The following is a 12,304-nucleotide window of genomic DNA, read 5'->3' on the forward strand; positions in this document are numbered from 1 at the left end:
TTTGGGAGTCTGAGCCGGGAGGATCACTTGAGCCCAGGAGTTCAAGACCAGCCTGGGCAACATGGTGAGACCCTGTCTCTACAAAAAAAATTTTAAAAATTAGCTGGGCACAGTGGCATGCACCTCTCTTCCCAGCTACTTGAGAGTCTGAGGTGAGAGAATTGCTTGAGCCCAGTAGGCCAAGGCTGCAGTGAGCCATGATCTCATCACTATACTCCAGCCTGGGCAACAGAGAGACCCTGTGCGAAAAACAAAAAGGTGGCAATTCTTCCCATATTGATCCATATTGATCTATAGATTTACTGCAGTCCCTTTTGAAATCCAAGCAGAATAGGCAACACAATTTTGAAAACAGAACAGAGAGAACTTAGACTGGTTTGACCACTTCCTGTAGAGCTGTTGTCATCAACATGGTGCTACACTGGCATAAAGAACATAGATAATGGAGCAGAATATGGAGGGGAGAAATCCTCACATTTACAGTAATTGATTTTTGAAAAAATGCCAAGACAATTTAGTGGGGGAAATGATAGGAATTTCAACAAAATGATGCTAGAAAAATTGAATGTCCATATGCAAAAACAAAGACAAAAACAAACCAAAATCCCTTAGATATTTATCTCCTACCATACTCCCAGAATAACTCAAAATTGATCATAAATCTGCATTTGTGAGCTAAAACTATAACACTTCTGGAAGAAAGCATAAGAAAAAGTTTTTGTGACCTTGGGTTAGGCAAAGAATTCTTAGCTATGACACCATTAAAGAAAAATATTGATAAATTGGGTTTAATCAAAAATTTAAAACTTGTCCTTTAAAGACACCACTAAGCAAGTGCAAAGACAAATTATAGACTCTGAGAAAATATTTGAAAATCACATATATGCCAGGTGCAGTGGCTCATGCCTGTAATCCCAGCATTTTGGGAGGCTGAGGTGGGCAGATCACGAGGTCAGGAGATCAAGACCATCTTGGCTAACATGGTGAAACCCCGTCTCTACTAAAAATACAAAATATTAGCCGGGCGTGGTGGCGGGTGCCTATAGTCTCAGCTACTCGGGAGGCTGAGGCAGGAGAATGATGTGAACCCGGGAGGCGGAGCTTGCAGTGAGCCGAGATCATGCCACTGCACTCCAGCCTAGGTGACAGAGCGAGACTCTGTCTCAAAAAAAAAAAAAAAGAAAAGAAAAAAGAAAATCACATATATAATAAATAACTTGTATCCAGAACATATAAAGAACTCTATGAATATTAAGATACCAGTCCTCCTCAAATTGGCCAAATATTTGAATAGCCAGTTCACTACAGAAGATACATGAATAGCTAATAAGCACATGAAAAAATGCTTATTATTACTCATTAGGGAAATGCAAATTAAAACCACAGTGCGATGCTACTTCACACCCACCAAAATGGCTAAAATAAAAACTCAGAAAATAAGTATGTTCAAGGAGAAACAGGAATTCTGTGTTGCTGATGGGAATCTGAAAGGTATAGCCACAACAGAAGGTGGTTTGGCAGTTTTTAAAAAAGTCATACTAAAACATATTTACCATATGATCTAGCTAATTCACTTACCTGTATCTACCTAACAGAAGTATGCAGATTCTTTAAGTACTTCAATTAAAAGAGATCATCAGGTAGGGTGAAAAAGCAAGATCCAGCTATACAGTCAGCTGCCCATATCTGTGGGTTACAGTCAGCTGTCCATATCTGCAGGGTTTTTTTTTTTTTTTTTGAGATGGAGTCTTGCTCTGTCACCCAGGCTGCAGTGCAGTGGCATGATCTCGGCTCACTGCAACGTCCGCCTCCCAGGTTCAAATGATTCTCCTGCCTCAGCCTCCTGAGTAGCTGGGATTACAGGCAACCGCCACTGCTAATTTTTGTATTTGTAGTAAAGACAGGGTTTCACCATGTTGTCCATGCTGGTCTGGAACGTCTGACCTCAGGTGATCCACCTGCCTCGGCCTCCCAAAGTGCTGGGATTACAGGTGTGAGCCGCCGTGCCTGGCCATGTCTGCAGGTTGCATCTGGGTATTCAACCAACTACGCCTCAAAATATTTGGAAAGAAAGAAACAATGAGAAATAACAATACAACAGTAAAAATACAAATAAAAACCAATACAGTATAACAACTATTTACATAGCATTTACATTGCATTAGGTCTTATAAGTAATCTAGAGATGATTTAAACTATTCAGGAGGATGTGCATAAGTGCTCTGTAGATACTACCCCATTTTATATAAGGGACTTGAGCATCCTAGGATTTTGGGATCCGAGGCGGGTCCTAGATAGAACTCATGGCTTGTATACCAACGGATGACTATCTGTTGTAAACTGGAAACTTATTTTAAATGTGAAGATATAAATCCTTAAAGGTAAAAAGATAGACAAATATAATACTGTATAAGCACTAACCAAAAGAAAGCTGGAATGACTTGATTAATATCTGATAAAATAGACTTAACAAAGATTATAAACAGGCATTAAAAAGGTGTATTTCATAATGATCATGGGGTTATTTCACCATGGAAGCACAACATTGTTCTTAAATATTCATGTACTTAACAACAGAGCAGTAAAACATAAAACAAAAACAGAATTGAAAAGAGAAATAGATTCACAATTTTAGTTGACGGTTTCAACACTCCTCTCTCAGTAATTTATAGAAAAAGTAGACAGAAAATCCATAAGGATATAGAAAAATCTAAGCAACACTATCAACCAACTTGACCCAGTTGGTGTTTATGAATCAGTCTATCCAACAGCAGCATACACATTCCCTTTAAGTGTACGTGAACTACTCAAAACAGTAGATCATATTCTAGGCAATAAAACACATATCAACAAATCATAAAAGAACTGAGTTATTCAAAGTGTGTTTTCTGACCATGAAAGAATTAAAGTAAAATTTAATAACAGAAAGATAACTGGAAATCTCCAAGTATTTGGAAATGAAGCAACACATTTCTAAATTACTCATAGGTCAAGGAAGAAATCTCAAGGGAAATTAGAAGATAATTAGAATAGGATGAAAATGAAAGTAGAATATATCAATATCTGTGAGATGCAGTTAAATCGATGCCTAGAGGGAATTTTATAATTTTAAATGGTTACATTAGAAATAATTTAAATTCATTGATCCAACTTCTTAAGTTAGAAAAGAAGCAATGAAGACAATACAATGTGTACATAAGGATAGATGTACAGATCAATGCAACAGGATGGTCCAGAGATAGACCTGCACATACTTAGTGTTGAACCAACAAAGGTGCCAAGATAATTTAATGGAGAAAAAGAAAGAAGGAAGTCTTTTCAACAAGTAATACCAGAACAATGAAATATTATACAGAAAAAAAAGAACTTTGATTTCTACCTTGTACTCTACACAAAAATTAACCTGAAATGGATATTAGACCATATTTGTGTTTACACAAAAGCGAAAACTTTTAAACTTGTGAAAGAAAATATAGCTTACAGTCTTCATGACCTTGAGGCATGAAAGACTTCTTAGGACAGACTGTCCATCAAAGAAATGTCAATAAATTGGAACTCATCAACTAAGCACCTCTGCTCTAAGAAGGACTCCCTGAAGAAAATGAAGAGCTGAGGTGCTCACTGGGAGAAAATCTTAGCATCACATAAATCTGACATAGGACTTATTTCTGGACTAAATAAAGAAGTTGTACAACTGAATAATACAACTCAATTAAAAGGTAGAAAAAACATTTGTCTACACACCTCTAAAAAGAAGAGAGGAGGATTCCAATAATCATGTACAAACATGCTCAACGTCATTATTCATTAGGGAAATGCAAATTAAAATACAAAGTACAATAAAATACTACTACACACCCAACAGAGTGGCCAAAATTTAAAAAGACTTACAACCCAAGTGTTGACAAGGATGTGGAACAACTGGAACTATCATACATTGTTGGTGGGATTGTAAAATGGTAGAACCAGTTTGTAATATAGTTCATCAGTTTTTAATAATGTTAAATATGATTTTCCATATGACCAACAATTTCACTTCCTGGTGTTTACCTGTGAAAAATGAAAACGCATGCCCATAAAAAGACTTATACATAGATATTTAAAGCACCTTTATTTATAGAAACAACCCAAATGTCTGTCAACAGATGGCTGGGTAAACAAATTGTGGAATATTCATACAATGGCATGCTGTTTGGCATTAGAAAGGAACGAAATACTTATGCACATAGCAATATGGATGAAGCTGTCTCATGTCAAACAAAAGAAGCCAGACACAACAGACAACATAGTGTGTAATTTTATTTTATATAAAATTCTAGAACTGGAGCATGAATCTATGTTATTAGAAAGCAGGTCAATAGTTGCCTGGATTCTAGAATATGGGGAGATTGATTTTAAAGGGGTGCTTTTTGGGGCAATGGAAATATCCTGTATCTTAAGATAGTAGTTACATAGGTGTATATGTTTGTCAAAAGCACATTTAACAATATACTTTCTTTTTGTTTTTGGAGACAGAGTCTCATTCTGTCCCCCAAGCTGGAGTGCAGTAGCACAATCTTGGGTCACTGCAACATCTGCCTCCTGGGTTCAAGTGATTCTCCTGCCTCAGCCTCTCTAGTAGCTGGGACTACAGACACGCACAACCACACCCAGCTAATTTTTGTATTTTTAGTAGAGGCGGGGTTTTACCATGTGGGCCAGAATGGTCTTGAACTCCTGACCTCAGATGATTCACTCGCCTCGGCCTCCCAAAGTGGTGGGATTACAGGCGTGAGGCACCTCGCCTACCTAACAATATACTTTAAGTGTGCATTTAATTGTATATAAATTTGCCTCAATTTGTTTTAAAAAGTAAAAAAAAAAGTAATGCTAAATTATTGTTCACTCCCACCATCAGTGGATAATAGAGATTCAATTTTCTACTTTTTCCATTTGGATAATCACTTTTGGGGTTCAGTTACTGAATAATCCATCCTTTCCCCATTTTTCTGACTTGCTACTTCTATTATATGTCAAAGTTGAATGTATGTGTGGTTCAGTTTCTGCACTGTCTTCCATTTCCTTGATTAGTTTGTTTATCCTGTCTTTATTATTTTAACTTTGTAATAAGCCCCAGTATCTTTATTCTCTTTCTTCAGAAGTGTTTTGGCTATTATTGATCCTGTATTTTTTGTATAAATTTTAGAAATAGCTTATTTATTTCTATGTTCTATGAAAAACCCTATTGGAATGTTAATGGGGATTATATTGATGTCATAGATAAATTTGGGTAGACTTCAAACTTTTACAGTATTAAATTTCTCTGTTTATCACTGTGGTATATCTTCCTATTTATTTAGATCCTCTTTAATGTCTCCCAATACAATTTGTAATTTTTCCCATCAAGTTCTTGCACATATTTTGAAAGAATAATTTCAAAGTATTTGATGTTTTTTATTTTATTGCAAGCTAAGTCTTTTAATTATGTTTTGTGCTGTATTGTTGCAGTATAGAAATATGATTTTAAAAATATTAATATATCTAGGGAACTTTTGCACTTGTTTTAGAAAGAAGCTCATTTATTGATGAGCAGAATTTGTGGTGGGGGGGCACAGGCATGTGTGGTGTGTACGTGTAGGGTGTGTGCTGTGTGCATGTGTTTGTGCGTGCAGACACATTTGTGAATATTTTGGAGAGCAGATATATTGAGGGTGGGTTTTCAAAACCCTGAAGTTATTTTCTGCAGTTGAGTTTCTGCGTGTTAAGGTTGGCCCTGTGTTGCAGGAGGGGATGGTGGCTAAGGCCATGAAGTTTCTGGCTTTTAGGCTGGTCTGCATTTCACGCAGTTGTGGCAAGAAGGGTCTCTTGTAAAGCTGATATGAAGTCAAGACATCCGTATCTCTTCCATCCTGGGGATGGTTACTCACGATGTAGGCTGTATTGTTAAAAATGTGTCACTCTTCCCTTCCAGTATCCGGAGTGTGATGCAGAAGTACCTTGCAGAGAGAAATGAAATAACCTTTGACAAGATTTTCAATCAGAAAATTGGTAAGTCCTGCTTGTTCATTTGGCATACGGTAATTTTAGTGATGAAATTGGGCGATACTATAGTAATATATGAATGCACCCCCTAGTGCTTTATATCCTCTATAGCTGTGGCTGGGAATAAAGGAAATTTCATGTAATTAATAAGGTATTTAATGATGACTTACATTCCTAGTAACATATTCTATGATTAAGCTCTTGGGAAATGGGTAATTCTAGGATTTTTACATGAACTCAGCGTTGCTGAATGTAAGAGAATAGGATATTCCTTTCTTTTCTTTGCGTCTTGCCTGCCTCGTGGTTACTGAGGTGGTTTGCTGGGGAGCTGTGTGTAATAGCTTTAAAATTATTTTATGGCTGGAGGAAATTACTTTATGAAAATTCCAAGAAATTAAAGTTCCCTAGAACTCAATTTGTGCTCTGTTTCCATGATTAATAGACATAGACTGATAGATCCCTTTAAGACTGCGTATTCTTCGAGATAATTCTGGGCTTGCCCTTTTGTTTGCTGATGAGGAGATGTAGACACAGGGAGGTGGAGTGACTTGTTCTGATTCCCAGTTCTCCTTCTTCTTTACTCCGATAATAAAATATTAACCAGTAAATAATAAAATAGTTACCAGTAGAAGCTGGTGCAGAAATCTTTGGATTTTTGTAAACCACTTTATCTGTTTTACGAAAATTAGCCTGTCTGTGAAGAGGTTCTTTGGTAGATACAGTTTCTTTGATCACGCATGAAGTACAGTGGGGAAAAGGTGGACGGAGTGGTTTGGAGAAGCAGATGACATTGGTCTGTCTGTGCCTGAGCACTGTGTGGAAAGTGATTGGTCTTTGCCATATAGAGATATTTCATCCTGCTCCTCAGGAGTTGGTTGGGGAACAGATAAGTTAAAAGAGTTTGGCTTTCATTTTGTTAGTTCTTACGGCTTCTCATTACTTTCATGGTGTGTGGTTACTATAAGCTACACAGATGTTCTCCTTTGCTTCTGATTTTGTGCTAAAAAACAAAATAAAACTCATGATAACAAGAGAGAGAAACTCTGTATCTCTGAGAGTGGAGGGAAAAAGGAATTATCTTTTTATTTGCTAGTTAAAAATTTTTTTAATTTATTTTTTGTGGATTTATTGAGGTATATTTCACATAGCATACAATCCACACATTGAAAGTAAACAGTTGAGTGACTTTTTGTGTATTCACCGTCATACAACCATCTGCACTGCCTAATTTTAGAATGTTTTTATCACCCCAAAAAGAACTTGTACCCATTAGCAGTCCTTCTGCCTTCTACCCTCCCTCAGCTCCCGGCAACCACGAATTGAGTTTCTGCCTCCATGGATTTGCTTGTGTTGGACACGCCACATGAAGGGAATCACACACTGTGTGTCCTTTTGCACTGGGCTTCTTCAGCATAAGGCCTTCAAGGTTCGTTCTGGTGGTTGTATGGATCAGAACTTCAGCCTGCTTTCCCTTCAGCTCTCATTCCAGTTTCTGAAATGCATCCAGGATTCTTCTTTTGTGTTTTCTGTTCTCTCTCCCTTCTGTAGCTCCTTTCCTGTCTACAGTCCCCGCAAACATACATACAGCCCCCCAAACATGTATTTTCCATAGCCTGGATTAAAACCTTAACTGACCCTGGCACCGGGAGACTCTGACCTGAGCTCCCAATGGCATTAGTGTGGCTGAGTATCTCAGTTGCACGGATTGTTCTCTGAGAGCAGTCTCACTGGGCGCTGATGGGCTGTGCATTTTATCTGAAGCTGTTAAACATTGTTTAAATAAATAATTTCTTCTGTTCCCTTCAATTCGTGACCTTGGATCTGGTCAGGAGAAGCTGAGTTTGAGCTTGGGAAGGTCATGGTCACAGGAAAGAAGAGCAGCTGATCGGAGGCTTAGGGAGAGCGCACACCACCATCTGTAATTACGTTTTGACGGAGCTGTCTAGTGTTGTTGGCCTGCTCCCCGTTTTTCTCTGTAGTAGTCTCACTTTCTGCCTGGTCTCAGGCATTGGGGGAGAGTGGAAGGTGGGCCATGGTGGGAGTAAATGTGTCTGACACTCCAGGTCTTCCTTTTCCAGGTTCCGTTTGCGCCTTCCATCACTGACTCCATGCGTTCCTGCCCTACTCTTTCCCTTCTCCATCTTTCCTTCCCTCTCCCCTCATTGTTTTGCTGGTCCTCTTGTTTTGTTTCACCCTCTGTCTGCCTACCCATCTGTTCCTTTTCCCTCTTTCCTTACCTCCCAAGGTCCCCGACACACAGGATCACCACAGGGCTTGGGAACTGCCCTCCAATGTGTGCTGTAGGCAATTGGTAAAAATGTTTTCAAAATGAAAACCATAGAAGTCTTTAATTTACTTGGCCTCTGAGGCATTGCCGAACTGGGAGATTGTTTGGCTACACCCTGAAGTGGTTGTTATTTCATTAATTTTTATCTATAAAAGTAGGGATAATAATAGTTCAGGTCCGTGAGGCTGTTGAGAGGGTTTAGCTGGTAATACACATGAAGCCCTTAACACGACAATTGGCTCTCAGCAGATGCTCAGTGAATAGAAGCAAATTGTTTATGTTAAAAATTTTCAACACACAGAAAAGTAGACTAGAATAATTAACCCCATATGTATGTATATGTATGTGTTTGTGTGTGTGTGTGTATATATATATATTTACATCACCTAGATTTGATACATTTCACCATTTTGCTATACTTTGTTTTCCCATCCCGTCTTTTTTTGTGGTTACTGAATTAACAAAGCAGTCACAGCGTTTTGTGCTATATGCATCTCTAAAAAGTATGCATGCTTTCTTATACAGCCGCAGTACCTTTATCCCAAACGTGAAATTTATCATGATTCTTAGTGTACTCTAATACCGAGTTTATTGTCAAATTTCTCTGATTAACTTAAAAATGTTTTTTTTTTTACTCTTGGTTTGAATCAGTATTCAAATACTGTTCTTGTATTGTAATTGATGATAATATTTCTTGTAATCTAGACCAGTTCCCCCACATTGCCCCCGCCAGCACATGCACAGGTAATTAACTTACCGAAGAAATTGGGTCCTGTGTGTTGTAGAATGTTCCACGTTCTGGGCTTTTCTGTCTGCTTCTTAATGGTATCATTTAAAAAATTTTTATTTATTTATTTTTTGGGACAGAGTCTTGCTCTGTCACTCAGGCTGGAGTGCAGTGGCACAATCTCTGCTCACTGCAACTTCTGCCTCCCAGGTTCAAGCAGTTGTTGTGCCTCAGCCTCCTGAGTGGCTGGGATTACAGGTGTGCACCACCATACCCAGCTAATTTTTTTTTTTTTTTTCAGTAGAGACACGGTTTCACTATGTTGGCCAGGCTGGTCTCAAACTCCTGGTCTCAAGTGATCTGCCCACCTCAGCCTCCCAAAGTGCTAGGATTACAAGCGTGAGCCACCATGCCCGGCCTTTAATGGTATCATTTAAATTGTACTTCTGTTTCCTACATTTCCTGTAAACTGAGACTTTGCTCTAACAGCTTAATGAGGTTTAGCTTCAGCTGCTTTTTGGTAGGAGCACTTTATAGGTGGTGCTGTGTACGTCGTAGCAGGAGGCACATGCCATTTAGGGTCTCTGTAGTCAGGTCTCTAAAGTGGGCTCAGATGTGGTCGGTGTCAGTTTCTCATTGACAATCATTGTCTAAATCAGTTATTTTATTAGGGATCAACTTAACTAATGTTAAGACACATAATTTCTATATAAGGATGAGGATAAAAGTAGCTGGCACTTAACCCCTTTCTTCTTAATAGTGGCAATTAAAAACAAAGAATGAAGTTTATTAGGGAGTTACAAAATGGTGAGTTTTCTAAATACAAGATTCCTTCTGCATTGATTACTTTTATTCCTCAATGGGAGGATATTTAGTTGCCTTTAAATATATTTTAATTAGAAAGGTACGTGTTCATGGTGCAGCCTCATGACCCTTGCCTCGTGGTGTTGCCCCCATGCGTAACATGGCTAAAAGAGATTCTGCAGGTGGAATTAAGATGATTGTCCGAGTGGGCTTAATCTACTCACATGTGCTCTTTAAAAGCAGAGTTTCCTCAGGCCAGCAGCAAGGAGGAAGTCAGAAAGATATGAAGCTCAGGAAAGATTCCACACTGTTGCTAGCTCTGCAGATGGAGGGCGTGTGGGTGCTCACTAGGAGCTGAGAGTGGCCCTGGCTGGCAGCAGCGAGGAAACAGCCACCTCCATCCCAAACCACAAAGCACAGAATTCCATCCATAACTGGAATGGGTTTGGAGGCAGATTCCTACTTGGAGCCTGTAGATAAGAACCCGGGCTGACCGACACCTTGAATTTGTCCTGGTGAGACCCTAAGCAGAGAATCCAGTGGAACCCACTCACACTTCTGACCTATAGAACTGTGAGATGATACGTGGGTGTTGTTTTCCAGTCACTAAGTTTCTGGTGACTTTTGACACATGAGAAAACTAATACAGCAGGCGAAATCTCCATTTGTTGTTTTTAATTGCCACTATTCAGAATAAAGGGGTTATGTGCCAGTTACTTTTATCCTTATCCTTATATAGAAATTTTATCTTAAGAAATATTAAGTTGATCCCTAACTTGCTGCCAGTAAAACTTACACATTTAGACATTGACACAGTATGTTTGGTTTTAAGGGGATACTGGTTATTGAATAGACAGGAAAATCATTGTATCAGTTATAGTTAAGATTCTTTTGTGACTATTTTTCTTCTTTAAGATACATTGAAATTGTAATTTCATCATATGAAGTGAGGCACATGGCATTTGATAAAGTCCATCTGTCTGTGGACAATCTACTTAGCTTCTCTGTCTGCAAGTTCACTCCTGTTAGAGGAGCATGTTTGAAACTATAAGAAGACTCCAAAACAGATCCTTTTTTTTTTTTTTTAAGACAGTCTTGCCCTGTTGCCCAGGCTGGAGTACAGTGGTACAATCTTGGCTCACTGCAACCTCTGCCTCACAGGTTCAAGCAATGCTCTTGCCTCAGCCTCCCAAGTAGCTGGGATTACAGTCATGTGCCACCATGCCCAGCTAATTTTTGTATTTTTAGTAGAGATGGGGTTTTGCCACGTTGGCCAGGCTGGTCTCAAGCTCCTGACCTTGTGATCTGCCCGCCTGGGCCTCCCAAAGTGCTGTGATTACAGGCTTGAGCCAATGTGCCCAGCCCCCAAATCGATACTTAATACATGAAGTATGTAAATGTCATTCTCATGTATAAAGAACGTGGTAATATAATATTATATCACATACTGCCATTAAAGGCATTTCATTTTATAATACTGGCTTCAGAACTCAATCCCCAGTTTGAATAGTAATCTTTTTCAATTTGTGTGAAATAATTTGGTGTCTGATATATAGACACAAAAACTTTGCAATTTTTACTTTTTTTTTTTTTTTTTTTTGAGACAGAGTCTTGCTCTGTCACCCAGGCTGGGGTGCAGTGGTGCGATTTTGGCTCACTGCCATCTCTGCCTTCCCAGTTCAATCACATCTCCTGCCTCAGCCTCCCGAGTAGCTGGGATTACAGGCACACGCCACCATGCCTGGCTAATTTTTGTATTTTTTTTTAAGGAGACACAGGGTTTCACCATGTTGGCCAGGCTAGTCTCAAACTCTTGACCTTGTGATCCACCCACCTCGGCCTCCCAAAGTGCTGGGATTACAGGCGTGAGCCACCTCACCCAGCCCTGCAATTTTTACTTTTTAAAAAATGACTTGTCCAGGTGTGGTGGCTCATACCTGTAATCCCAACACTTTGGAAGTCTGAGGCAGGAGGATCACTTGAGGCCAGACGTTTGAGACCAGCCTGGGCAACACAGTGAGACCCTATCTGTATAGAAATTTAAGAATAAAATTAGCTGGATGTGGTGCTGCATACCTGTAGTCCCAGCTACTCAGGAGGCTGAGGTGGGAGGGTTTCTTAAGCCTTGGATTTCGAGGCCTTAGTGAGTCGTGATCGCATCACGGCTGTCCAGCTTGGGCAAAAGAACGAGACTCTGTCTCAAAAAACAACTCTCAAAATGCAAAACTACTATATACCATTCACCCATTGTAAATGTATTATGTGATGATTTTGGTAAATTTCTACAGTTGTGCCCCCGTCACCACAATACAATTTAAAAACATTTCCATGCCTCCAAAAGATCCCTCCTGCCCATTTGTCGTTACTCTGCTCCCATCCTCAGCCCCAGACAAACACTCATCTGTCTGTTTCTATCTGCCTTTTCTAGACATTTCATAAAAATGGAATTATACGGTATAAAGTCT

General features: G+C 39.2%; 1 protein-coding gene across 4 annotated transcripts in view, besides 1 other annotated feature; it reads left to right on the forward strand.

The window, feature by feature from the left end:
* GRK3 (G protein-coupled receptor kinase 3) overlaps nucleotides 1-12,304 on the forward strand; it is a 164,620-nt gene that overhangs the window by 33,752 nt on the left and 118,564 nt on the right. For all 4 annotated transcript variants that reach the window (NM_005160.4, NM_001362778.2, XM_047441167.1 and 1 more), the window contains exon 2: nucleotides 5,951-6,027. In NM_005160.4, coding sequence (NP_005151.2) covers nucleotides 5,951-6,027 — 77 coding nt within the window. The remainder of the gene's footprint in view (nucleotides 1-5,950; nucleotides 6,028-12,304) is intronic.
* Nucleotides 7,391-7,891: an enhancer, noted in NCBI's record as "H3K27ac hESC enhancer chr22:26001784-26002284 (GRCh37/hg19 assembly coordinates)". NCBI's record gives its function as "activates a minimal SCP1, AML or CMV promoter by ChIP-STARR-seq in primed H9 embryonic stem cells {active_cell/tissue: H9 hESC(primed)}" and the evidence as "EXISTENCE:reporter gene assay evidence [ECO:0000049][PMID:30033119]".

Source organism: Homo sapiens, chromosome 22 (assembly GCF_000001405.40).
Source record: "Homo sapiens chromosome 22, GRCh38.p14 Primary Assembly".
Lineage (NCBI taxonomy): Eukaryota > Metazoa > Chordata > Mammalia > Primates > Hominidae > Homo > Homo sapiens.